General features: G+C 44.4%; 1 protein-coding gene across 3 annotated transcripts in view, besides 3 other annotated features; it reads right to left on the bottom strand.

Annotated features, from left to right (window-relative positions):
- KIF1B (kinesin family member 1B) overlaps positions 52–27664 on the bottom strand; it is a 171034-nt gene continuing 143421 nt past the window's right edge. For all 3 annotated transcript variants that reach the window (NM_001365951.3, NM_015074.3, NM_001365952.1), the window contains 11 exons: positions 20612–20726; positions 19830–19963; positions 18311–18372; positions 16410–16555; positions 16007–16246; positions 13117–13188; positions 10393–10514; positions 7190–7339; positions 6609–6801; positions 6282–6400; positions 52–5110 (listed from right to left, as the gene is read on the bottom strand). In NM_001365951.3, the coding sequence (NP_001352880.1) occupies positions 5068–5110; positions 6282–6400; positions 6609–6801; positions 7190–7339; positions 10393–10514; positions 13117–13188; positions 16007–16246; positions 16410–16555; positions 18311–18372; positions 19830–19963; positions 20612–20726 (1396 nt within the window). In that variant the 3' untranslated portion in view covers positions 52–5067. The remainder of the gene's footprint in view (positions 5111–6281; positions 6401–6608; positions 6802–7189; positions 7340–10392; positions 10515–13116; positions 13189–16006; positions 16247–16409; positions 16556–18310; positions 18373–19829; positions 19964–20611; positions 20727–27664) is intronic.
- Positions 3441–3941: an enhancer, noted in NCBI's record as "H3K4me1 hESC enhancer chr1:10437772-10438272 (GRCh37/hg19 assembly coordinates)". NCBI's record gives its function as "activates a minimal SCP1, AML or CMV promoter by ChIP-STARR-seq in naive H9 embryonic stem cells {active_cell/tissue: H9 hESC(naive)}" and the evidence as "EXISTENCE:reporter gene assay evidence [ECO:0000049][PMID:30033119]".
- Positions 3989–4088: a silencer, noted in NCBI's record as "silent region_244". NCBI's record gives its function as "represses an Ori minimal core promoter by ATAC-STARR-seq in GM12878 lymphoblastoid cells {active_cell/tissue: GM12878}" and the evidence as "EXISTENCE:reporter gene assay evidence [ECO:0000049][PMID:35858748]".
- Positions 27458–27658: a silencer, noted in NCBI's record as "peak69 fragment used in MPRA reporter construct". NCBI's record gives its function as "represses an SCP1 promoter by STARR-seq MPRAs in K562 erythroleukemia cells {active_cell/tissue: K562}" and the evidence as "EXISTENCE:reporter gene assay evidence [ECO:0000049][PMID:32103011]".

The raw sequence follows: 27664 nt of genomic DNA, 5'->3' as shown, positions 1-27664 counted from the left end.
TTTGTGCAATTACCTTTCAAGGGGTGCAAGAATAAATGCACATCGAGAACCTTCTGATGCACTGGCTGTACCTTTATTATTTTTACCTCGTTCACTAACAGCTCCGTGACGCAAGGTTACCACACACAGTTAGATAGTGTCTGCATTGCACATCTAAGGCTATACAGCAAAAGAATCAGAATTAGTACAAATACAAGAACTATATTTACAGTCTGTATACTCAAGCTCCAAACATCAGATAATATTTACAAAATAAAACATGAAAATGAAAATCCAAAATTAATGTACATTGTTGCTAATGTGCTCAACTCCTTCACGGGGGAGAGATCAGTTTGCAAAGTCTTGGTTCAAAAAGGCCACTTATGCATTATGGGTTTTGTTGTCATGTGTGAGGATGGTGACAAGAGACTTGAAATCTCAACAGACAGGTACTTTAGAGCCACAAAGTCTAAGACGATGCCTTAAATACAAGAAGGCTGAGGGACTCCTCAAGTGAGCTGATGCCAGAATAGGCAGAATGAAAAAAAATGAACTCGAAGACATGAAGAACAACACACAACAGCCACGGTTTGGCAAGAGACCAACCTCAGCTCAGACTTTCCATCTGAGCACAGCCGTTTGGCTATGAGCTTTTTACTGAATTTTATAGCAACTCTGATTTCTTCCTTTAAATGATTGGAGGCTTTTTAAAGATCTTATGGGGCTCAAATACTAACTTCATAAATGGCCTTTTGAATAACAGCAGCAAATAATCTCTCAGCTGATATTTCAATTTACTAAGGAAGCACAAATTAAAACATTCCTGCTACACAGTCATGGTCTGGCCACACACTGGGGTGAATCACTGGCCCTGGTGAACAACTGTAGTGCACACAAGTTAGAGTCCTATGTAAACACATCCAGCAAACCTTCTGGGAGCAGCAGCATCATGAATCTTTTCTTTTTTTTTGAGACGGAGTCCTGCTTTGTCACCCAGGCTGGAGTGCAATGGTGCAGTCTCAACTCACTGCAGCCTCCACCTCCCAGGTTCAAGCTATTCTCCTGCCTCAGCCTCCCAAGTAGCTGGGACTACAGGCACACGCCACCACGCCTGGCTACTTTTTGTATTTTTAGTAGAGACGGGGTTTCACCATGTTGGCCAGGCTGGTCTCAAACTTCTGACCTCAGGTGATCCACCTGCCTTGGCCTCCCAATGTGCTGGGATTACAGGCGTGAGCCACCACACCCGGTTGAATCTTTCAAGAGGCAGGTTAACAATCACATTTTTAAAAGGGAACCGAAAGGAAAACTGAAAGACCTAAGTCAAACAAGCCCTGATACTGTCCATTGGAACCCGAGCGGGACACAGCACGAGGGAAATGCAGAAAGAGTACCGATGAGTGTGCACACTGGAGAATCCTTTCTCTCCAATCCACTGTGCAAGTAAGTATAGCTGGATAAATATACATAGACCTGACAAAATTAAATATCCCTGTAAATTAGACAATAAGCAGCAGGCAACAAAGTCTTTGCTTTGGAATATGTGCCAGGAAAAGTCATCTTGTTTTTAGATCTCAAGAGACAGTTCACAATGACTTAGTTCCTTCATCTGAAATGAGCTGAAAAATCCATAAAAAATAGGAGAGTTGTCTGAAGTCTATGTGACTGAAGGGAAAAAATATATAATAGTGGTTTCTTAGTTGGGAAACTCACTCCATTGCCCCTTGCCGTCAGCACGTTTAACAACGAGCTGGGGCTCAGGTGCCCGGCCACTGCCACAAGCACCCCTTGCCTGTGCTCCTGACTAGCGCATGGGCTGGCTGGCCCTGCACAGTCCTGGCCTGAGCGCTGACTGACTCCCAGGAGGGCACACAGACACAGAGAGGGTCTGAGCACTGATTTGGGGCTGGTGGTGAGGCCATATTTTGCTTTGATGGGAGAAAGGAGGATGAGAGACAGAGGAGGAGGTGATTAGTATTAACTAGCACTTATTTCTCTGAATTTGCCTAAGAATTCTCTTTCCTGCCTTTTAAAGTTTTTGCTTATTTAAAGGCGTGCTTTAAGAAAATACATAAAGGTGGTTTCCTTAAGGGCTATGTTTCTTAACTTTCCCGCCACAACAGCAACAACTAGAGCCTCATAAACAGTTCCTGCCACAAATCTCTCACAGCCTCACAGTGGGGATGGTTCTGTCGGGCAAGGGAGCACCCACCCTGGACGTGCTGGGGACCAGCAAAGGCTGTCTGCACCTGCCAGCCGCAGCAGGGGCGCCCCAGAGGGTGAAGAGCACGCAGGACACGACCACTCTGCTCCCTCTGGCTCCCTAAGAGGCCTTCTTATTCAGGCACGCTATGAACAGACAGTCCAGTTTGGCCTGTTCTAATGTCTGACGCTTCCAAAGCAAAGACTTTCCAAACCAGTTTTGTATGAGTTAGAAGAAAAACAAAAGTCATTTCAGTGTATCACATAATTTCACTCTCTCTCAGGCTTCCCACCGTCCTGTGTCACAGACATGGATCCTCTGTCACACTCTGTAACAGCAGCATCAATGACTTAATTTTAAAAGTGACCTTCAAATTCCATCTTCATTTCCCTGAAATTAGATTTGATTCCAGTCCAGGCAGCCATCTCTAAGCACCGACAGATCCTGCTGGTTTGAATAGAACCGGAAGGGCATATTGTGTCCATCAGACAATGAAACTTCTAACTACATTAGAAAATCTCACATACCACTTAGAAAACAAATAACATCACAGTTAGTGACCTATGTTTTAACAGGAAGAAGAAAGTTAAAAAAAAAATCCGCCATAGAGTTTCCGCGGGTCACTTTTCAGGTGCAGACGCAGCCTGTGATTCTATCCTTTCCTTTCTCTCTCCGTGATTCACTTTTCCTCCTCTTCACAATGCAGTGATAAGGAGCGAAGCTGGGAGACCTGTTCTTCAGAGATGAGCCCAACCAGGAAGTGAGAAACAAGGTTGTGGATGATGACACAAGTCTCCCTAGCAACAACTCTGCAGAGGCGCGCAAGCCCCTGGCCTTTGCTGCGTGAAGCGGGAAGTCATCCAGCTGCCTAACGCCTGAGAGTCAGCAACCTCAAGGCCGAGGACTCACCAAGTGGGAGTGAGCAGATACTTTCCTGAATGCCTGAGCAATGGTGAAACAGAGAGGTCTGAGCAAGGGAAGTAAAGGATGGTGTAAAACAATCCCAAGACAACTGGCAAAGCAACTGAAGTCACTGGAGGCTTTCTTTTTCCCCTCTCATCCTGGAAAACTTACTGGCAGCTGAAAGAGACAGACTTATCTTCTCTGATGATCTCGGAAGCCAGATGACCTGGTCTGTCAGAAGGAAAGAAGACTGTCCACAGTGAGCTTCCTCCTTTCTCCCTGGGCAGTGTTTCCACACCAGATGGAGAGGAGCAGGGAACACGCAACAAAGCCTGGGGCCCGGGCTCCCTGGACGTTCATCCGTGCCCCTAGGCATATTGTGTTTTGTTTGGAGTAGTGGTCACGGTTAGTTTTAATCCTGGGATCCAGAAAGCAAAGCCTGCCACATTTGCTTATTTATGAGTATAGAGAGCATCACTGAAAGCATCTTCAACCTGACAAGCATCAATGAAAACAACTGCTGGATTCAGAGGGAGACTTCCAGGTTTATGCCTGAAAGCTATATTTCTTTGATCAAAGGGAGCTGTAACAATCACAAGGTCACTACCCAGCATTATTATTTTTTTTTTTTTCTGAGGCAGAGTCTTGCTCTGTCACCCAGGCTGGAGTGCAATAGCGCGATCTTGGCTCACTGCAACCTCTGCCTCCTGGGTTCAAGCAGTTCTCCTGCCTCAGGCTCCCAAGCAGCTGGAATTACAGGCATGTGCCACCATACCCGACTAATTTTGTATTTTTAGTAGAGACGGGGTTTCATCATATTGGCCAGGCTGGTCTTGAACTCCTGATCTCGTGATCTGCCCGCCTCGGCCTCCCCAAGTGCTTGGATTACAGGCGTGAGCCACTGTGCCCGGCCTGCCCGGCATTATCTTAATCATAACAATGACCATCAAGTTTATCACCAGAAAGTGAAACACTCCCGCCTTGTGGAACATTTGTGTATGACATGGCACTAATTCCAACTGTACCACCACCATCACTAATGCCAAAAGCAGAACTGAGACACTCCTAGAAAAGAGCTTCCCTCCCAACAGAGAAAAAACAGTGGGCAGGAATCCTGCTGTGAGGAGCTACAAGCATCCCACCGCCTGCTGCCATCACGGCCCACGGCCAAACCCTGGGGTCCCCTGAAGTCCACCAGAAGCATCCTTGGCATTTCCCTTCACACAAAGTCAAGAGCAGCCACTGTCCCAGGCCCACTGAAAAAGCCTCTCGTCTCCTCTCTACCAGTAAATAAAAATTCCATAATTATGCCGTAAAAAGCCCCAACTTTGACTCAGAATATAACTGTTGCAGTTCTATGCTCACTACCACCTTTTCCCTGAATGGAAATGCAGGGATTAGCCATGGCAAAAAGAGACAGAGGGGAAAAAAAGACTCTTTTTTTCCTCTCAGGTTCTAAAAAGGCCAGATGTCTCCTCCCTTAGTCTCTAAGCCACCCAAGAAAAATTAAAGTGATATCACAAACAGAGAAAAGAAAAAAAAAGTATGTTGTCTTGAAAAACAAAGGTGCCTGGTGACAGCAGCACAGACATCAGAGGTGGTCATGATGGGGACCTATCATACAAAAGGAAGCCAAAGTACACCCACAATAATTTGGAGATTCACCAGATCCCCTCAGAGTTTTTGTGTTTTTGTCTGTGTATGTGTGTGTGTGTGTGTGTGTGTGTGTGTGTGTTTAAAAACATTTTTTCCTTTTGTTAGGCCACATGCTACTAACGAGATTCTCAGCACAAGAAAAAAGAAAAGAGTACAGAGCAATGGAGATGGGGAACGGGAGAGCTAGAAAAGTGCTGGACAAGGAGGGAGAAGTAGTTAAGCCACAGGATTACATACAAGAGTCACCGTCAAGAATCACAAAGAGAAATGAGAGGTAACGCTTTCTTTATCTCTCGAAGGCGAGTGAGGGCACTCGGCAGAGTCACTTAGTATTTCGACTGGCTCGGGCATCTGCGGGAAAGCTTTGACCTATGGGGGACAAACGGGGAGGTAGGATTAGAAGTCTGGGTACAAGTCTTGTCCCCTCACAGTCCTCTCCCTCTGAGGCTCCCTCCTGGAGCATCTTCCTATTTGGCACCGCAGGCCTAGTCCTCTAAGCCGTCTACTCCGGGACCCTGTGACACAAGCCCTCAGAACGTGAGGCTGAATCACAGGGCTGGAGGTTGGGAGACCATTAAGGTTCTCACTGTCCTCCCTTTACTCTCTCCCCTGAGCCCCATCTTTAGAACTCTTGAGAACAAAAAGACAAAGAAGGAAAATAATTGGTGCACATGTGTGACCAGAGTATCCCTGGTGGTTCAGAACATGACAATGCCTTACAAGATGCAGAGGCCTCATTACCACCCCACAACCAATTTACACTCCTGTCCTTCCTCTCTTTTAAATTTATTTTGAAAAATACTTCCTTTCAAGCCAGATGTGGTGGCTCACGCTTGTAATCCCAGCACTTTGGGAGGCCGAGGAGGGTGGATCACCTGAGGTCAGGAGTTCAAGACCAGCCTGGCCAACATGGTGAAACCCCATCTCTACTAAAAATACAAAAAAAAAAATTAGCTGGGTGTGGTGGCGGGCACCTGTAATCCTAGCTACTCAGGAGACTGAGGCAGGAGAATGGCTTGAACCTGGGAGGTGGAGGTTGCGGTGAGCCGATATCATGCCACTGCACTCCAGCCTGGGCCACACAAGAGCAAAAACTCCATCTCAAAAAAAAAAAAAAAAAAAAAAAACAAGAAAAGAAAAAAGAAAAGAAAAATTCTTCCTTTCCTATTTATCCTGATATTCCTGAAGCCAAAAGCCAAAGAGAGAAAGAAAACACAGAACAACTTCTAGGCTGGGTGCAGTGGCTCAGGCCTGTAATCCCAGCACTTTGGGAGGCTGAGGTGGGTGGATTACTTGAGGTCAGGAGTTTGAGACCAGCCTGGCCATTGTGGTAAAACCCCGTCTCTACAAAAAATACGAAAATTAGCCAGGCAATGGTGGCACGTGCCTGTAGTCTCAGCTACTGGGGAGGCTGAGTCAGGAGAATCGCTTGAACCAGGGGGCGGAGGTTGCAGTGAGCCAAGACCAAGCCACTGCACTTCAGGGAGAAAAAGTGAGACTCCGTCTCAAAAACAACAACAACAACAACAAAACTTCTTACCGTATTGTGCCAGCTAGAAGTGGGTTGAAGGCATACAACCAGTCGTTCATGTCTTTGTCATTGAGGGCCTGCAAAAGGACCCCACGGTGCTTTGTGCAGACAGCAAAGGTGTTTGGTGTCTGAAAGAAAAATGCAGGTAGACAAGAAAGTTACTACAGAGACAGCAATGGGGACTGCCTTGCCATATTCCCAAGGCATATAGCACTTCACAAAGGAAGTTCAAAACCAGAGAGAATAGGGAAATTTCACACCACGTAACAGAGAGTGCAGAAATCAAAAGAGAAGGGCACACGTGGCAATAAGAAACCAAGGCAGGGCAGGACGGACCTTCACCATGGCCTGCTGGTCCTCACTGTACTCCACCTGTGCTGTGGACAGGTTAATGATTCCACGCTCCACAGGGTCTTTGTCACTGTTATAGATGAAGACATAAGGCCGACGGACGACAACAAAATGTTTAGCCCAGTTACTGTAAAGAGGCTCCTTGAAATGAAGGTATCCTTTCTTAGAGACCACTGAGCTAAAAACGACAATATGACAAAAGTTAGTTTCTCACAAAAAGAAAATAATCGTGCTGAGGACCATCAAAATACGCCACACTTAGGCCAAGTCCTTAGATTCGATGAAACAGGCAAATGACCTATTTGGCCTAGAATCTTATCTGCCAAAGTAATACGGCAAAAGCGAAACCGTGCCATGGCAACATGCTGCGCCAGGGTGCAGATGCATTATGAGACCCAACTGGAGAAACCCAGGCTGGCCCTCTCACCCCAGACTCAACTTGCATCAGACTACAGTACAGATTGCATCAGACTACAGTACAGACCTCACAGGGAAGAGCTGGCCAGTCACTTCTTCCTGTGGATTTGTTTTTTATAGCTGGCATTCCTGCTCAATATAGTACTCACCTTGGTCTAATTTCTTCAATATCTGGAACAAGATTGAGAAATTCGTTTTTTCCTGCTCGGGCCAAATATGGTGTTTCCACAGCTGGGACAATCTGAAACTGTTCAAATTCTGGGCAGGGACTAGAGGCCCGGGAATTGGCTTCTGGGGTCCTTTAAAATAGAGAGATTAGAAAGAAAAGGGTAACAAGAGAATCAGTTACAATCAAGGCATACTGAGTACTGTTTCACTGGGAGGAACACAATGGCCCTCCCTAAACCCCAGCTGCAAACTTGAGTTGCAGAGAGCTCAGCTGAGGAGACAAGCTGGCTTCAGAAAGTTAACTCTGCGTTCAACTGGTGTCATCCTTCTGAAGTTATGAAAGGAAATTGATCATTGATGGCCACTGGGTCACACAATCTCTCTGCCTATATTAAAGCCCTCTGAACACATTATCTGGAATAGGAACTCTACTCCTTTATATGTTTCTTTTTAGTCCCATGGCCACACCAAAAGCGATGTTTCTCAAAGTGTGCTCCCAGCCAGCAGCATCAGCTTCACCTGGGAAACTGTTCAAAAACTCAAATTTTTAGACTCCAAGCCAGACCTACGGAACGAGAAACTTTGGGTGGGGTTGAGCCATGGGGGCTTCAACAAGCCTCCCAGGGGATGATGATGTACACTGAAGTCTCAGAGGCCCACTGCCTTAGAAAATGGCAGAAAAAGCAAACAAATGGGAAGACCCAGGGTTCCTGAACGGCTGTGCAGAGAAGACCTGCACCACTGACCTGGACCTGGACCAGCCCTCTTGACTACTGTGTGAGAAATAAATTCCTATACTCTGTATTGCTAGATATCTTTGTAGAGTAACATAGCATTGTATCTCACTAAATCTAAAAAGCCCATTTTAACTTTTTCTCATACTTCATTCTTTTTTTTTTTTGAAATCAAGTTAGCCAGGTGCAGTGGCTCACACCTGTAATCCCAGCACTTTGGGAGGCCGAGGTAGGCAGATCACCTGAGGTCAGGAGTTTGAGACCAGCCTGACCAACATGGCGAAACCCCGTCTCTACTAAAAATACAAAAATTAGCTGGGCGTGGTGGCAGGCCCCTGTAATCCCAGCTACCCAGGAGGCTGAGGCACGAGAATTACTTGAACCCGGGAGGCAGAGGTTGCAGCACTCCAGCCTGGGCGACAGAGTGAGACTCTGTCTCAAAAAAAAAAAAAAAAGGCCGGCGCAGTGGCTCACGCCTGTAATCCCAGCACTTTGGGAGGCTGAGGCTGGCAGATCATGAGGTCAGGAGACCAAGACCATCCTGGCTAACACGGTGAAACCCCATCTCTACTAAAAATACAAAAAATTAGCTGGGTGTGGCCGGGTGCAGTGGCTCACGCCTGTAATCCCAGCACTTTGGGAGGTCGAGGCGGGTGGATCATAAGGTCAGCAGTTTGAGACTAGCCTGACCAAAATGGTGAAACCCGATCTCTACTAAAAATAAAAAAAAAAATAGCTGGGCATGGTGGCGGGTGCCTGTAATCCCAGCTACTTTGGAGGCTGAGGCAGGAGAATCACTTGAAGCTGGAAGGTGGAGGTTGCAGTGAGCCAAGATTGCACCACTACACTCTGGCGTGGGCAACGAGAGCAAAACTCCATCTCAAAAGTAAATAAATAAATAAAATAAAATAAAAAATTAGCTGGGTGTGGTGGCGGGCACCTGTAGTCCCAGCTACTCGGGAGGCTGAAGCAGGAGAATGGCGTGAACCTGGGAGGCGGAGCTTGCAGTGAGCCGAGATTGCGCCGCTGCGCGCCAGCTTGGGTGACAGCTCTGTCACCCAAGCTGGCGCGCAGCGGCGCAATCTCGGCTCACTGCAACCTCCGCCTCCCAGGTTCAACCAATCTTCCTGCCTCAGCCTCCCCAGTAGCTGGGATTACAGGTACATGCCCCTATGCCTGGCTGATTTCTTGCTCTGTCACCCAGGCTGGAGTGCAATGGTGCAACCATGGCTCATTGCAGCCTCAACCTCCCGGGCTCAAGCAATCCTCCCATGTGAGCCTCCTGAGTAGCTGGAACCGCAGGCGCATGCCATCATGTCCAACTATTTTATTTATTTTTTGTAGAGATGGGGGTCTCCCTATGTTGCCCAGGCTGGTCTCAAACTTGTGGGCTGAAGCAATCCTCCCACCTCAGCCCCTGAAAGTGCTGGGATTACAGGTATGAGCCACTGCACTCAGCCACCATTTCTTAAATTGGGATTCATCTTATAATTGATGGCATGCTTAAGTTAGTTGTCAGTGCTTTTTCTTCTTCTCTTAGTGGCACAGAATAGTCCCTACAGTCTGTGGCATCCTAAATTTAATGAAATTACCTGGTTGTGTTATTTTCTCCAGCCACCTTTGCCTGTGTCAGTGTTGGTACAATAAGATAGACAGGTGGATGATAACCAGGTGAGCATAATTGATGGAGATGCACAAGAGGGTGTGTTGCAAAGAACGGATTATGATGATGAATCATGGACTCTAGACTACATTTGTCTTTTTTTTATTTTTTTTAGGGACAGGGTCTTGCTCTGTCGCCCAGGGTGGAATGCAGTGGTGCAATAATAAAACCTCACTGCAACCTTGAACTCCTGGATTCAAGCGATCCTCCCACTTCAGCCTCCCGAGTAGCTGGGACCACAGGCACAGACCACCACGCCTGGGTATCTTATTTATTTTTTGTAGAGACAGCATATCGCTATGTTGCCCAGCCTGGTCTCGAACTCCCAGCCTCAAGCAATCCTCCTGCCTTGGCATCCGAAAGTGCTGGGAGCCACCTCACCTGGCCTTGTCTTTATTTTTCTTACCTACATAATTTGCTGTGGAATCAAAATATTTTTTTCCAAAACAGTTTCAAAATATTTTTCCCAAGATAGCACTTCCTATGTCTGGTATTATGACTGGGGAGACAAGCAGGGGTAGGAATGGAGGATAAAACTAGCAGAAAGGGATGAAGAAGACAGTCATGATGAGTTGATGATGCAGAAGGTTAGTAAGCTATGATGTGAAGAGATGCCAGTAGCTAGCACCTCTCCAGTCACTGTGATAGCCAAAAAGGCTCCCACACATTTCCAAATGCTGCCTAGGGAGAAGGTGCTGCCTTCAGTCAAGAACCATTGAGCTAGAGGAAGGTTGACATTTACCTTGGTTCTTAGATTGACTTCTCTCAGTGAAATCTGGGTACTTACTTCTGATCCAGAGAGTTGCTCCTAGAGTCTACCAGAGAGGGACAGGTGGAGGAGGGAGTGAGGGTGGCACTGCTGAAACTGGACTCAGAGGGATCCCGTCCAATTGGAGAGATATCAGACAACTGGAAGCAAACCGAACACTACAAGTTACATTCAGCTGAAAAAAGCTGCCTCTACAGTAACAATAGGGAGTTTCAACAACCAGAACCTCACTTTGATACATCTTGTTTCAGAAGGTCATTTAAGAAAACAAGCCTATACATAATTTATCAATAAATAAATACATAGGTAAAATTTTAAGAGACAAGGCCTTGCTCTATTGCCCAGGCTGGAGGGCAGTGATGCAATCCTAGCTTCCTGTGGCCTCCAACTCCTGGGCTCCAGCGATCCTCCTGTGCCCTGGCTTCCTGAGTACCTGGGACTACAAGCGTGTACCACCACAACTGGTGAAAATATTTTCAAAAAAGAAAAAAAACAAGCCTACAAATATTTTACGGCCTAAGTGCCACACCAGGAATCAAGACATTTATAAAAGGGGCAAGGTTGGTTTTTTATGTTCCTACTGCCCTCCTGCATTATTATTATTGTTGTCATTATTATTATTATTATTATTATTATTTTCTTTCTCGAGATAAGGTCTTGCTATGTCTTCTTCTTCTTCTTCTTCTTATTATTATTATTATTATTATTTTCTTTTTCGAGATAAGGTCTTGCTATGTCTACCAGGCTGTAGTGCAGTGGTGCGATGTTGGCTCACTGTAGCCTCAGCCTCCAGGACTCAAGTGATCCTCCCATCTCAGCTTCCTGAGTAGCTGGGACTACAGGTGTACACCACCACACCCAACTAATTTTTGTATTTTTTTGTGGAGATGGGGTTTTTGTCATGTTGCCCAGGCTCGTCTTGAACTCTTGGCCTCAAGAGATCCATCGACCTTGACCTCCCAAGCTGGCAGGATTACAGATGTGAGCCACTGTCACTGGCCTCTCCTGCATTATCTTTATTTATTTTTGGAGAGACGAAGTCTCGCTCTGTCACCCAGACTGGAGTGCAGTGGTGCGATCTTGGCTCACCGCAACCTCCACCTCCCAGGTTCAAGCAATTCTGCCACAGCCTCCTGAGTAGCTGGGATTACAGGCATGTGCCACCACGCCCGGCTAATTTTGTATTTTTAGCAGAGACAGGGTTTCTCCATGTTGGTCAGGCTGGTCTCAAACTCCCAACCTCAGGTGATCCGCCCACCTCGGCCTCCCAAAGTGTTGGGATTACAGGCATGAGCCGCCATGCCTGGCCCATTATTTTGGGGGTTTTTTTGTTTTTTGTTTTCTTTTTGAGGCGGAGTTTCACTCTTGTTGCCCAGGCTGGAGTGCAATGGCACGATCTTGGCTCACTGCAACCTCCACCTCCCAGGTTCAAGCGATTCTCCTGCCTCAGCCTCCTGAGTAGCTGGTATTACAGGCATGCGCCACCATATCCGGCTAATTTTGTATTTTTAGTAGAGATGGGGTTTCTCCATGTTGGTCAGGCTGGTCGCAAACTCCCGACCTCAGGTGATCTTCCCGCCTTGGCCTCCCAAAGTGTTGGGATTACAGGCATGAGCCACCGCAGCCAGCCCCCCAGTCCGTTATCATTAAGAGACAAAAAAATACTGTCACACAGGCTGGGGTGCAATGGCACAATCATACCTCACTGCAGCCTCAAACTCCTGGGCTCAGGCAATCCTGCCTTGGCCTCCTGAGTAGCTAGGACTATAGGTGTGTACCACCACATTTGGCTAATTTTTCAAAAATTTTTTTGTAGAGATAGGGTATTTGTGCTATATTGCCCAGGCTGGTCTCAACCTATTGGCCTCAAGCGATCCCCTCATCTTGGCCTCCCAAAGTGCTGGGATTACAGGTATGCACCACCACACCCAGCCCCTGAATTAATATAAGTGGTATTACAGTGGTGCACCTTCCATGTACTAGGCATTGTTCTAATAATATGGCAGAGGATCTGCCTCCCTGGAGCTTAAGACAGACAATAAACCACTCAACAAACACTTTAAAAAGCATCAGGTAGTAATTAGTGCTATAGCAAAAAATAAAGCAGGAAAGAGGTGTAGGTAGAAAGTTTCAGACAGCTGTCAGATTTATTATCAGGTGTTAACAGAGTCGACTCACAGGAGGTGATAATGGAGTAGAAAAATGAAAGAGGTAAGGGAGCCAACCATGGCAATACCTGGAGAAAGGCAATTCCAGGCAAAGAAATAGTAGGTGTGCAAAGACCCCAAGGCAGGAATGAGCCGGGAGGGTTTAAGGTCAAGCTGACTAGAATTGAGTGAATAACACAGAAATTCTCTGAAGTGTTTACTTCACTCTTTGTTGAAGTCAATAAAACTTTATGCCACCAGGAACCTCAGGGTTTCCTTGTACCCTGGCAAAGAATAACATACCACCTCCCCATAGAATATTCTCCTCCAAAGGAGTCATGAAAAAGCCAAAATGTTTCCCATCTGATAATCACTCTAAGAGACACAAAGGAGTACTTTTATCTTCAGAAGTCAGTGTTCGGACTCTGAAAAATTAGAATGAATACCAGAGCAGTATGTCATAAATTTTCAAATACAATGCTATGCCCATGACAAGTTGCTTAAAAGCAGCAAAAACCAGGAATAGGTAATCTGGGCTGCTGTGGAGAAATCAGTTATCAACATACTGGCTAAAAATTACAGTCAATGTGCTCACCTTACAGTCACTGACGCTGCCGTGCACCTGGCTGAATTCTCTGTTGAAAGTGTGGGTGAGAAGTTGCAGGCACTAAAGAAGAGAAAGAGAAGTGCAAGCTGAACATAAAATGTCAACAGCCAGGAGCCTTGGGATAGCTGACCACGTGGAGGCTCCTGAAGGGCTGAGTTCCCGGGGAGGGCATGGAAGCTCCACATCTCCTCTCCCTATGCATTCGTCCATCTGCCGTTCATTGGTCTCCTTTGCACTGTCCTTTCTAATAAATCAGTAAATTTAAAAACAAACAAACAAAAACCTCAATGACTAAATGAAGCCCTGGATACAAGGCAGGAGGGGAAATAACATGTCCTAAACCCACAGTGCAGCTCCGATGTTGCCCAAACAGCTCTAGAAATTAGAACTAAGTATATAGTAAGGGAAGTTCTATGTATGTCTAATAAAGATAAAGCAAGTGGCTTAAAAAAACCTTTCTCAAGATTACCAAAGTGAATTACTAAAAACACCATGGTTCTGGCTGGGTGTGATGGCTCATACCTGTAATCCCAGCACTTTGGGAGGCTGAGGCAGGTGGATCACGAGGTCAGGAGATCGAGATCATCCTGGCCAACATGGTGAAACCCCATCACTACTAAAAATAAGAAAATTAGCTGGGCGTCATGGTGGGCACCTGTAATCCCAGCTACTCGGGAGGCTGAGGAAGGAGAATCACTTGAACCCGGGAAGTGGAGGTTGCAGTGAGCTGAGATCATACCACTGCACTCTAGCCTGGCAGCAGAGTAAGACTCCATCCCCTCTCCAAAAAACAAACAAACAAACAAAAAAAACACCTACAAAAAATGAGCTGGGCATGGTGGTGCACACCTGTAATCCCAGCTACTCAGGAGGCTAAGGCAGAAGAACCGCTTGAACCTGGGAAGTGAAGGCTGCAGTGAGCCGAGATCGCACCACTGCACTCCAGCGTGGGCCACAGAGCAAGACTCCATCTCAAAAAAAAAAAAAATTTAATAAAGATAAAAATAAAAAATAAAAACATCATAGTGATCTCTTGACCTCACAATCCGCCCACCTCAGCCTCCCAAAGTGCTGGGATTACAGGCGTGTGCCACCGCACCCAGCCACCTCTGCCTTCTTTAAAAAACTTTTATCTGGCTGGGCGTCCACACACCTGTAATCCTAGCACTTTGGGAGGCTGAGGCGGGTGGATCACCTGAGGTCAGGAGTTCAAGACCAGCCTGGCCAACATGGTGAAACTCTGTCTCTACTAAAAATACAAAAATTAGCCAGGTGTGGTGGCACATGCCTGTACTCCAAGCTACTTGGGAGGCTGAGGAAGGAGAATCGCTTGAACCTGGGAAGTGGAGGTTGCAGTGAGCCAAGATCATGCCACTGCATCCCAGCCTGTGTGACAGGAGTGAGACTCCATCTCAAAAAAAATAAAATTTTAAAAAGCTTTTATCATTTCTCATCAGATTACTGTAATAAAGATAAAGAATTCTCCCTTCCTCAGTGTATCTCTTCACCATCAATCCATTCTCTTTATTGCTGCCAGAGAAATATATATATTTTTTGAGATGGTGTCTCACTCTGTTGCCCAGGCTGGAGTGCAGTGGCGCGATCTCGGCTCACTGCAGCCTCCGCCACCTGGGTTCAAGCGATTCTCCTGCCTCAGCCTCCTTAGTAGCTGGGACTACAGGCGCACGCCACCACGTTCGGCTAATTTTTGTATTTTTAGTAGACACGGGGTTTCACCATGTTGGCCAGGATGGTCTCAATCTCCTGACCTTGTGATCCACCTGCCTCGGCCTCTCAAAGTGGTGGGATTACAGGCGTGAGCCACCGCCCCTCGCCAGAAATCTTTCTAAAACACAAATACCTGTTTAACATATTTCTGCCTTGCTCCCATCATCCACTCTAAACTCTTCAGTGCAGTATACAAGATTCTTCACTCCACACCTCCTGTTCCAGTCCCACGTGAATTCCCCAAGACTGATCATGCAGGACACCACTGCCTCCCTCCTGATCACGCAGGACACCGCTGCCTCCCTCCTGATCACGCAAGACACCGCTGCCTCCCTCCTGATCACGCAGGACACCACTGCCTCCCTCCTGATCACGCAGGTGTCGACACTGCTGCCTCCCTCCTGCGCATCCTTTCAAGGTCAGCTCATGAGCTCCCCACCATAGACACTTCTCCTCTGACTCCCATAGCATTTGAAACACACATCTCTATTATATGCTTGTGACCTAATATTCTGCAACCTTTATATTTTTTAATTTTTTAATTTTTTATTATTTTATTTTATTTTTTGAGATGGAGTGTCACTCTGTCGCTCAGGCTGGAGCACAGTGGAGCTATCTCGGCTCACTGCAATCTCCGCCTCCTGGGTTCAAGCAATTCTCCTGCCTCAGCCTCCTGAGTAGCTGGGATTACAGGCGCTCGCCACCACGCCTGGCTAATTTTTGTATTTTTAGTAGAGACAGGGTTTCACCATGTTGGCCAGGCTGGTCTCGAACTCCAGACCTCAGGTAATCCACCTGCCTCAGCCCTGCAAAGTGCTGGGATTACAGGTGTGAGCCACCATGCCTGGCCTAATTTTTGTTTTTGTAGAGACAAGGTCTCACTATGTTAGCCTGGGCTTGTCTTTAACTCCTGGGCTCAAGCAATCCCTTTGCTTCAGCCTCCCAAAGTGGTGGGATAATAGGCATCAGGCACTGTGCCTGGCCCTGTAAGCTTGTTGAGGGTAGGAACTGCGTCTTTTTATTTCTACATTCACAGTATTATCACAGGCCTTCAAACACCTCGAACAAAGGTGTTGAAAATGAATAAACCGAGAGGCTAGTTTGTGGAGCCTTGTGGGAAGACGTTCAGCAAAGAGGAAGGGATTCACACCTTGGTAGCCAGCTCTTTCTCTCGGTCCACCAGGCTTTCGATGTCTCCTGAATCATAGCCACTGCTCTCGCTAGGTGTGATGGCGCTTTCAAAGGTAGTGGTTGAGATCTGAGAGGAGATACTGGTGGAGGTGCTGAGGGTCCCACTGCTGAGGCTGGGGGATAACGAGTCGCTCAGGGATTTGGGGATGCTGTCACCAAGTCTCTCACGCAGCAGCAAAAAGTGGCGGGTTTTTTCCACCTGAGAAGATCAATACTACTGCTATAGCAAACACAAAGCTCGTTAAGACCTCAGGAGAGAAAAGTGAAAAGCTATGATCACATGCAGCAGCGGGGAGGAAGACTGATACTTTGGCAATCTTGTCCGAGAGTTCTTGCATCTGAACAACCCTGCCCCTGGATACCTCATGTAGGAGCTCCAGCTTCTCCAGCTCCCACTGGTGCTCAAGGATGAGGCTGTCTCCACGGGGCCGCCAGCCTGCTAAGTTCTCTTCTCCCCGCACATATGCCACTGACGTATCTAAGATTTTTCTTCTCCTTCTCTGCATACCTAAGACAAGAGGAAACAAGTTTTTGTTTCAGAAAAAAAATTCAATTCCAAGTTTAGGTCAAAACGAATTAATAATTCTTTTTTTTTTTTTTTTGAGATGGAGTCTCGCTCTGTTGCCCAGGCTGGAGTGCAGTGGCGTGATCTCAGCCCACTGCAAGCTCCGCCTCCTGGGTTCATGCCATTCTCCTGCCTCAGCCTCCCGAGTAGCTGAGACTACAGGTGCCCGCCACCATGCCCAGCTAATTTTTTGTATTTTTAGTAGAGACCGGGTTTCACTGTGTTAGCCAGGATGGTCTCGATCTCCTGACCTCGTGATCCACCTGCCTCAGCCTCCCAAAGTGCTGGAATTACAGGCGTGAGCCACCGCGCCTGGCCACGAATTAATAATTCTTATACGTAGCAAACTAAGACAGTTTGGTCTGAAGATATATGGGATTTTGTTTAAATAGCAAAGCAACTGAACGTTTTTAAAAACTGAGTTTTACATTCTTTGATAATTATGAAGACTGGGATGCAATTTAAGAAAATGATAAAATTATGATGTTAGGTGAAAATGCAGAAATATTAAATAGTCTGTAGTAGTCTATACACTATGGGGCCGGGCGTGATGGCTCACGCCTGTAATCCCAGCACTTTGGGAGGCTGAGGTGGGCTATCATCTGAGGTCAGGAGTTCGAGACCAGCCTGGCCAACATAGTGAAACCCCATCTCTACTAAAAATACAAAAATTAGCTGGGCATGGTGGTGGGTGCTTGCAAACCCAGCTACTCAGGAGGCTGAGGCAGGAGAATCACTTGAACCCAGGAGGCAGAGGTTGCAGTGAGCCAAGATGGCGCCACCACACTCCAGCCTGGGTGACACAGCGAGACTCTGTCTCAAAAAAAAAAAAAAAAAAAAAAGATCCTGTCCCTAAAAATAAAAATTTTTAAAAAGACGGAAGGGAATACACACACACATACACACACTCAGTAGCTCACTGGCTGACAGATGACAGAGAACTTTAGCCTCTATTATTTCCTGTTAATTTTTTTTAGTATTATGCTGGTTTTACATATTAAATACATGAATTTATATTAATTAAAAAAATTCCTCAAGAAACTATCTGGATAGTATAATAATTAGGTGCTACTTGGATTCATACTCAAAGTCTTCTTTACTTATCTAAGTCTTGCCTGTGGGCCCTGACTTGTTTTCCATGTATATTCTGTAAAATGACTCAAACTCACATTAATCAAATGCTATTAGAAAACCTTAACTTTTGTTCATGTTTCGGTTTACAAACATAGAAATGCTAAGTGCTGCTTAACTCCGCCTAGCTAGAGGAACAAGAGCAGTTTAAAAACACATTAAAAAGAATACAGAACAAATCTGACTTAATAATTTGATTTTTTTTTCTTTTTCTTTTTTGAGACTGAGTCTCACTCTGTCACCTAGGCTGCAGTGCAGTGGCACAATCTCGGCTCACTGTAACCTCTGCCTCCCAGGTTCAAGCAATTCTCATGCCTCAGCCTCCTGAGTAGCTGGGATTACAGGCACGCGCCACCACACCTGGCTAATTTTTGTATTTTTGGTAGAAAGGGGGGCTTCACCATGTTGGTCAGGCTGCTCTTGAACTCCTGGACTCAGGTGATCCACCCGCCTTGGCCTCCCAAAGCGCTGGGATTACAGGTGTGTGCCACCGTGCCCAGCCTAAATACAGGATACTTGAAACATACACAAAGATAACTATCACCTCCTCAATCCACAAGAGCTTACCTGGACTACCTGTGTCTGACATTTTGCATAAGCTGAGTTCGTAAATGCCAGTGACTCGATTCCTATTTGAAGAAAATAAAACAATTGTTTAATCTCTTAAAGCACAAAAACAGGAAAATTTCAATTTCTGCTACTTAAAATAGTGTCTTCTCTGCAGGGACTCAAATATAATTCCAGGCATTTCTTATTTGTCACCGCTCTTTTCTTATTTTGAACCTAAGTAGCATACCTTTTCCTAGAGGAGTCCGCTTTCATCTCAATTTAATTTTTTTATAGATAGGGTTTCCCTGTGTCACCCAGGCTGGAGTGCAGTGATGTAATCACAACTTACTGCAGCCTCGAACTCCTGGACTAATGTGATCCTTCTGCCTCAGCCTCCTGAGTAGTTGGGACTTCAGGCATACACCACTATACCCAGCTAATTTTTAAGTTTTTTTGTAGAGATAGGGTCTCCTTATGTTGCCCAGGCTGGTCTTGAACTCCTGGCCTCAAGTGATCCTTCCACCTTGGCATCAAAAAGTGCTGAGATTATAGGCATAAGCCACCATGCCCCACCTCATCTCTATCTTTTAAACACTTTATTTCAATAGGGTGAATAAAATTGAATGATAAACTAGAAAATTTAAAATATAAATGTGAAAACTAAAAATTTGTCTTTTCTTACTATAAGAGAGACGATATGAGGGAAACAATGACTAGAATGAAATGATAATCAACAACTTCTGGGGATTGTGAGTAGTAGGAGGTATAATACCTTCTATTGTATTAGTAACACTTATTTTTAAGCTGGGCGGTGATACACAGGTATTCATTGTATTGTTTCTTTCTTTTTTTTTTTTTTCCTTTTTCTTTTCTTTTTTTTAAATTTTGAGACAGGGTCTCACTGTTTCACCCAGGCTGGAGTGCAGTGGCTCTATCATGGCTCACTGCAACCTCAACCTCCCAAGCTCAAGTGATCCTCCCACCTCAGCCTCCTGAGTAGCTGGGACTACAGGTGTGTGTCACCACACCTGGGTAATTTTAAAATTTTCTGTGGAGATGGGGTCTGTGTTGCCCAGGCTGGTCTCAAACTCCTAGGCTTAAGCAATTCTCTGTCCTCAGCCTCCCAACGTGCTGGGATTACAGACATGAGCCACTGTGTATGGCCTTCACTGTATTATTCCTGACATATTTTGTATGCCTTAAATATGCATAACAAATCTTAAAAAGAAGAAAATTTCAATGGTACTCTGTTAGAAATAATGATGATGACATTTAAAAGTCTTTGCAAATTTAGTCTTTGCAAAATTGTTTTAGACGTGTTCACAATGTAATATTCCTTCCTTCCCTCATAACTCGTCCATCCATCAACATTTTATTAAATGTCAGCATGCAAGTCAGTACATTCCAGGTGTCAGTTACCAAAATGGTTCATAAACTGTAAACTAACCGTGAGACAGTAAGCCGAGAATACTTAAGGACTAATGATTCTGTTGTACTGAACAAACACACTGGAAGCTAACTTGTGTGAAAAACTTACGAATCTGGTGACTTTGAGTAGCCGCTGCCAAAGAGGCTACGCAGAGAGCGTGGTGGTGAGATCTTGGCATCTCGGGAGTAGAAGACCATGCACACATCCTTGGTGATGACAGCCGGCTGGATGCAATGATCCAGCTGAAAGCAGACAGGGTAGGTGCTGATGAAGTGCAGGCAGAGTACTGTGACTAGAGTCTATACACGAACGTATTTGGAAAGCGAGTCCCAGTTGTGAGAACTGAAGGATTTTAGCTCCACCAATTATTTCAACAGCCACCCAATGGATAATATGTGCAAGAGTAGGTAGTACTCCTTAGAGATGCATTTATTTTTATCTGAGGTAAATGTTGTTTCTCCTGATAGGTGAGGAAACTGAGGCAAAGAGAGTTTCTCCAAGGACATAGAGGAAGTAAGTGGCAGCACAGGGATTTGAACCGACAGGCTGGGTCTTGGGTCTGGGCTATTAACCACTATTACACTCTGTCCACAACTACAAAAACAAGAGGTGACATTTTCTTAAAAATCACACATTCTTCAAACAATGGTGATTAGGCTACTAAAGCTGAAGCTGCAATGAGTCATGTGATTTTTTGAGTAAACAGAACCCAGGAATAGAGTCTAATATAATCAGAAGAGTTAGCAATGTATAATAAAATGAAAAACTTAAGGATGTGGAGGAAGAAAGAGGACAAAACAAGTGGAATCTTCGCTGACCACTTCCTGCTGTAACCTGCACACTGTTCAGGGCTGACTGTTGGCATCAACTGAAGTTCCAAGTCTCCTCACCTCTAGGTAGGCCGACAAGGTCATGTAGATCTTTTCTCCATAGGGTGTCACTCGGTTCAGAAGAAGGGAGTTATGCAGAGAGCTATCCCACACAGCCTCAAAGCGGTAGAAGGTCCTAAGGTCAGAAAGACAAGAGGGAATCATCCAAAAGAAGCTAAAGTCACGTTAGTCCAGGTACTGCCACTGTCAATCATCCTAAAGAACCATACGCCAACCAACAGACACTTTCAGTTTATCAAACTCTAATAACAGAGAGGAACCCTTATCTCCTAGGAGGAAAAGATAGGTCCCCATCCTCTTGCTCCCAACCCCACCCATCATTAAGGAACACTTAGTTGTGCTTTTTTTTTTTTTTTTTTGAGACAGAATTTTGCTCTGTTGCCCATACTGGAGTGCAGTGGCACAATCTCGGATCACTGCAACCTCTGCCTCCCGGGTTCAAGTGATTCTCCTGCCTCAGCCTTCCGAGTAGCTGGGATTACAGGCGCCCGCCACCACGCCTGGCTAATTTTTGTATTTTTAGTAGAGACAGGGTTTCACCATGTTGGTCAGGCTGGTCTCGAACTCCTGACCTCAGATGATCTGCCCACCTCGGCCTCCCAAAGTGCTGGGATTACAGGCGTGAACCACTGTGCCTGGCCAGTTGTGCTTTTTTTAATTTTGTTTTGACAAGCCTGCCTCTGCCTATAAACATAAAAATAGTAAGGTCAATCAAAGGGATTAAGATGAAATGGATAAGTGAGTATGGACAGAAACTGAAAGAAGAAAGAAAGACTATGTAAGCTCTCCTGTCAGTTAATGATGACAGCAGGAAGTGAATGCTTGGTAACTTGTCAGCTTCAATCTTCACATCACAAGAGGGCTAAACATCATTCAATCCAGTGCTGCTGGGCCTCAGAAACACCACAGATATATCTGAAGGGATTAATGGTAGAAACTGGGTAGATGGGTTTAAGTATAGAGAGCATTATTTTATTTTATTTTATTATTTTTTTATTTTATTTTATTTTTGAGACGGAGTTTCACTCTGTCACCCAGGCTGGAGTGCAGTGGCGCAATCTCAGCTCACTGCAACCTCTGCCTCTTGGGTTCAAGCGATTCTCTTGACTCAGCCTCCTGAGTAGCTGGGATTATAGGCACGCACCACTACGCCAGCTAATTTTTCTATTTTTAGTAGAGGAGGGGTTTCACCATGTTGGCCAGGCTGGTCTCAAACTCCTGACCTCAAGCGCTCTGCCCACCTTGGCCTCCCAAAGTGCTGGGATTATAGGTGTGAGCCACTGTGCCGGCCGAGAGCCTTATTTTAAATAAAAGAATACAAGGTTATTCTTAACTGATGTTTCAGTAAAAGAGAATAAATTGTTAACACTAGAGCCAGACAAATACCATTTGTTAGCTTAAAAAAAAAAGCCATTTGAAAAATTAATCTTACATTTATGTAACAAATGGAAACTTAATTTAATAGATACCCACAAACTATTTTGTTGTTATTGTTCTAATATCGTTTTTTTTCTACTGGTAAAACAACATTAACTCTAATTGACATTAAATCTTCCAGTTCTGCAAGTCTAATGTGAAATACAGCACTTAGTTTAAAAGCAGTGTTACAGATTGATTCCCAATTCTGCCCCATGTTTCCCTTCTCAGACCCCTATGACAAGTGGAGGGGAAGATGCCTGGTCTGCCCCACCATCACTAGTTCTCCGCAGATAGAACACAGCTCACCTGATTCACCTAGAAGAGTCTATGCACACTCTTTCCTGCCCAATACATTCCTTCTTACTCCTTTTCAAATAGTGACCTCACTATGGCTGCCTTTTCTAGACTTCCTATGATAAGTAGCTGGCATATCCTCCCTCTAAACACATCCCCATGTTTCTTCCTCCAGAAACGATCAACAGAGAGAACACATTTCTGAAACTGAACCCCATGACCACACCTCATCTTCCAAGTGGCAGTGTATGAGGTCTGATCATCTAACATAGCTGCTTCTAGATCTAAGTCTTCTTCAAGTACTTAATACTCTCTCAAATGTCTAGTCTTTGAGGCAGTGAGTGTGGGTCAAGAAAATTCTCTACAAAGACACAGAAGATAGAGAAACAACTAACAAGTCAAAGACAAAGCCACCAAGTGACCCAAACAGGAACAGAAATGATGGACAATGAAGGCCTTTCTATAGTTCTTGGGCTCCCTGGGCACAGGAGGAAACCCTTCATGTGTCCATAAAACTCTGTGTAAAGTAAAGTTTTAATTTGGTTTAAGACATATTCTAATACTGGGTGACGACATCCACTGCTTCAACAGATGCCACTTGAGAACTGACTGTATCATTGTGAGATCTGTTTTTTTTTTTTTTTTTTGAGACAGAGTCTTGCTTTTGTCACCCAGGCTGGAGTAGGGTGGCATGATCTTGGCTCACTGCAACCTCCTCATGCCGGGTTCAAGTGATTCTCCTGCCTCAGCCTCCAGAGGTCTGCTCTTTTATTGTGTTCCTGTTTTTGTCAAAGTACCTAGAAGGGGCGGGGCTTATTTGTCCCATTTCAGAGGCTGGATACATCCATGCTAAAGTTAAATAAACCCCTCTTCTTAGAGTGACGGCATTTATGACTTTGGTGATATTTGACAGAAATTTCTATCAATGCTGCTGCCTTCATTAAGTTCCAAACCATAACGTGGCACCTCCCAGGACCACTGCTGAGGTTTCATGACACTGACTCTTTCAACTGAGGCAAATGTTTTGAACTTGTCTAAAAAAGCCTCTTCACATTTCTGTTTTCAGGCTAAGCTTTCACTTAACATAAAGAGAAAATTTCACTTGCAGAAACCTGGTTAACACAAAGGAAATTTTGACTCCACTAAAGTCTTCCTGTATTGAGGGAAAAATTTTTCTTTCATTTTTTTCTTTTGTCAAAAAAAGTTTCTTTCTTTTTTTTTTTTTTTTGCTTTGGACTTGCTGCAGCAAGTTCTGTTAGAATACCCACCAAAGGTGGTAATTCAATTTAAAAAAATATATATTTTATTTATTTATTTTTCTGAGACAGAGTCTCACTCTTGTCACCCAGGCTGGAGTGCAATGGTGCGATCTTGGCTCACTGCAACCTCCGCCTCCCGGGTTTAAGCGATTCTCCTGCCTCAGCCTCCCAAGTAGCTGGGATTACAGGCGCCCACCACCAAGTCTGGCTAATTTTTTTATTTTTAGTAGAGATGGGGTTTCACCATGTTGGCCAGGCTGGTCTCGAACTCCTGACCTCAGGTGATCCACCCGCCTCGGCCTCCCAAAGTGCTGGGATTACAGGTGTGAGCCACTGCGCCTGGCCTATTTTATTTTTAGACAAGGGTCTTGCTCTGTTGCCCAGGCTGGAGTGCACTGGTGCAATCTAACTCCTGGGCTCAAGTGATCTTCCCACCTCAGCCTCCTGAGTAGCTGGGAATATAGGCACGAGCCACCACACCCGGCTAATTAATTTTTTTTTTTCTTTAGAGACAAGTTCTACATTGCCCAGGCAGGTCTTGAACTCTTGGGCTCAAGTGATCTTCCTACCTTAGTAGGAAAGTGCTAGTATTACAGGTGTGAGCCATTACACTGGCAATTCTTGAGAGGTGGTTGTAAGAAATACAACCAAGACTGGGGAGAAATGTCAATTTAATCAAGCTGGCAATAGAATTTAGGGTTACAAACAGGGCTGAATCCCAAGACATATTTTCCTGTATGCCTCCTAAGGTGGTGAGAAGTAATTCCAAATGGATTTCTCAAGATGTTCTGAACAGCAGCAGCATCAGAGGAAAAACAGGTTTCAAGGTGACTGCTTTGAAGGATATATTCCTTTGAATTTATTATTTATGAACAATTAAAAACCAACTTCTGGTCAGTTGTGGTAGCTCACACCTGTAATCCCAGCACTATGGGAGATAAAAGTGGGAAGATCACTTGAGGCCAGGAATTTGAGGCCAGCGTGGGCAATATAGCGAGACCCTGTCTCTACAAAAAAATTTTAAATTAGCGAGGCATGGTGGCACGTGTCTGGAGTCCCACCTATTCGGGAGGCTGAGGAGGGAGGACTGCTTGAGCCCAGGAATTCAAGGTTGCAGTGAGCTATGATCATGCTACCGCACTTTATTTATTTATTTATTTATTTATTTATTTAGAGACGGAGTCTAGCTCTGTCGCCAGGCTGGAGTGTAGTGGCACGATCTTGGCTCACTGCAACCTCCGCCTCCCAGGTTCAAGCGATTCTCCTGCCTCAGCCTCCTGAGTAGCTGGGACTACAGGCACATGCTACCACGCCCAGCTAATTTTTCTATTTTTAGTAGACATGGGGCTTCACCATATTGGCCAGGATGGTCTCGATCTCTTGACCTCATGATCCGCCCGCCTCGGTCTCCCAAAGTGCTGGGATTACGGGTGTGAGCCACCGTGCCCGGCCGCATTTTTTTTTCTTTTTTTAAAGCATCTGCAGGTATAGCTACTACACTCTAGCCTGGGCAACAAAGCAACACCCCGTCTCAAGAAAACAAAACAGAAGCCACCTTCTTATATCATGGTCACATCTGATGAACCCTTTTGAGTTCATTAGGAGAATCTCTGAAATGTAAACTGAATGGGGTCCAAATTGAGGGATAAAATCATTATATCAGTAACATCAGTCAAATATATAAATATGTTTATGTATTTTTTTTTCGAGACAGAGTCTCGCTCTGTCGCCCAGGCTGGAATGCAGTGGCGCGATCTCGGCTCACTGCAACCTCCGCCTCCCGGGTTCAAGCGATCCTCTGCCTCAGCCTCCTGAGTAGCTGGGATTACAGGCGCCCACCATCATGCCAGGCTAATTTTTGTATTTTTAGTAAAGATGGGGTTTCACCATCTTGGCCAGGCTGGTCTTGAACTCCTGACCTCGTGATCCACCCGCCTTGGCCTCCCAAAGTGCTGGGATTACAGGTGTGAGCCACTGAGCCCAGCCCGTTTATGTTGTATTTTTTTTAACATTTTAGGTTATATTGTCATGTATCACTTCCTTCAATTTTCTTCCCTAAATGAGACAGATTTTTTAAAAAACTTCCTTTAATACCAAACCAGGATTTTTCCTATTCCAAAAGAAGAAAATAAACAGATAAAACAAGCAGCCCTGACAGGAGAAAGATAAATGTTAAAAAATATATATAAAATATTTCTCATAGACTCAGCTATCCAAATAGCCAAATTTGTCTCTATTACCACACAGGACAAAACAGAGAAGAAAGTGAACAGTTTTGCAAGACTGCAATGGACTCAGGTTTTATAAAGCAATAAACCCTTCATGCTTTTGACGGAGAGAAGACAGATAAAGAGGAAAACAGAAAACAAAACCTGAGATTCTGTATGAAATGAAGGGAGAAACATTCTACTTTGTAATGTAGAAGAGGAAAACTTGAAAGAGTCTAAGAATAAAACTGACAAGTTTAGCAAATGGAATGAAAAAATAATTTGAAACTCTAAAAATCATTTAAGAAGCTATACGCTTCTTAGGGTACAGAACAGGGTCTACTCTATCCTAGGTACAGTAGGTTTACATGGGGAGGGGACTACAAAATTAAAATGGCAAAGCAACATAAGACAGAAAGCATTCTGATAAACTAGAATCCTACGTGCAAAAAAGCAAACAGACAATACCTAGGAATATCCTTATCAAGAAAGAGCCTGCAAAAACATAGAAAAGGCTTTAGTTAGTGCAGCAAAAAAACAAAAGAAATAAGGGAGAGAATCAGAAAAAATATATATATAAAGAAGACAAAATTTGCTGATAAGCAAAGTGAATTCAAGTGGACAGACAATTAACACAGAATCCCATGGAACACAATTCCATAGAGGACTTACAATAACATGGGTCCCTCTCCTGAGACTTCCAACTAAGGAAAATGCCAGACATAAGAGGGAAAGTGGAGACCACCACCATCAGTACCCCTTTCAGTGGTGACTTAGTATTGAGAATAATAGGAAGTTGCTGTGGAGTTAAGGGAAAACCAAGTCAATGCATTAACATAAATGTAGGACTGGGAAGAAAAGGAATAATGAATGGTCCCTTGTCAATTATACCCCACTATCAATGTATTAGCAAAGCCCTCTAAGATACACACATAATATACCCAAATTGCAGGTAAGTTCAACTTTAAACATTAAACCTTAGACAAACAGAACGAAAGTTCTCTTAACCAAACTCCATTTTGCCACTTACCATATTAACCTATGTTTTCCATATCCCTAAAATATACAGATTGATGGCTAGTTCTCCTTGAGCATTCTAAACTACAAAGATGTCTCATTTGCCCAGACACTTCGCTCCGAAGAGTTGAGTGCTTATCAAATGTCAGTAGTATCTGGTCCCAAATCTGTTTATGCCAGTTGTACTTATTATTATTATCTAACTTCATTAAACATTAGGCAAATCAATGAAATATGAAAACATAAATAATTTTTGTTCCTGTGAAAACTAAGTTGAATGTTTTCAAAAGGTTAGAAAATGGTGAGTTGTTTAAAAATAACTGTTAAGTTTGGGTGAGACAAATGTAAAAGAAAGGGGAAAATGATAAAATGTTTAAATGATTAATGTTAATAAATGATAAAAAATTTAAAGGATTTTGAACTTAGATTTTCTTCACAGGTTTCTAATTCTTGCTCCACCAAACTGAAAGTCATAGATGATGAATTATGGGTGTGGTTTTGCAAGAAAGACAATCAGAACTCCAGTAAATGATCTTATAATTAAAGAAAAGGCCATGGCTTTCCAGCAAAAGTTTGATAAATTAATGTAGATTTATATAGTTTAAATGAGAACAGAAATATTTAAGGTGTTTTTTGTTGTTGTTGTTATTCTTGACTTCAGCCTTTTTTGATGAACTCATTCTAACTCACAAGATAAGCTGCTTCTAACAAAGCCAAATTCATTTCTTGTAGCACCTGACCTGTTGTTGGGCGTGAATTAAAGGACTTCTTAAAGTTACTCTAATGGAGGCAAAATTAGAATAACCAGTATTTCAACCAAAGCCCATCTTTCCCTGTATATTTTACTAAGTACCCTA

Source organism: Homo sapiens, chromosome 1 (assembly GCF_000001405.40).
Source record: "Homo sapiens chromosome 1, GRCh38.p14 Primary Assembly".
NCBI lineage: Eukaryota > Metazoa > Chordata > Mammalia > Primates > Hominidae > Homo > Homo sapiens.
The sequence above is the reverse complement of the archived record's forward strand: the minus strand, read 5'-3'. Positions and strand labels throughout refer to the sequence as shown.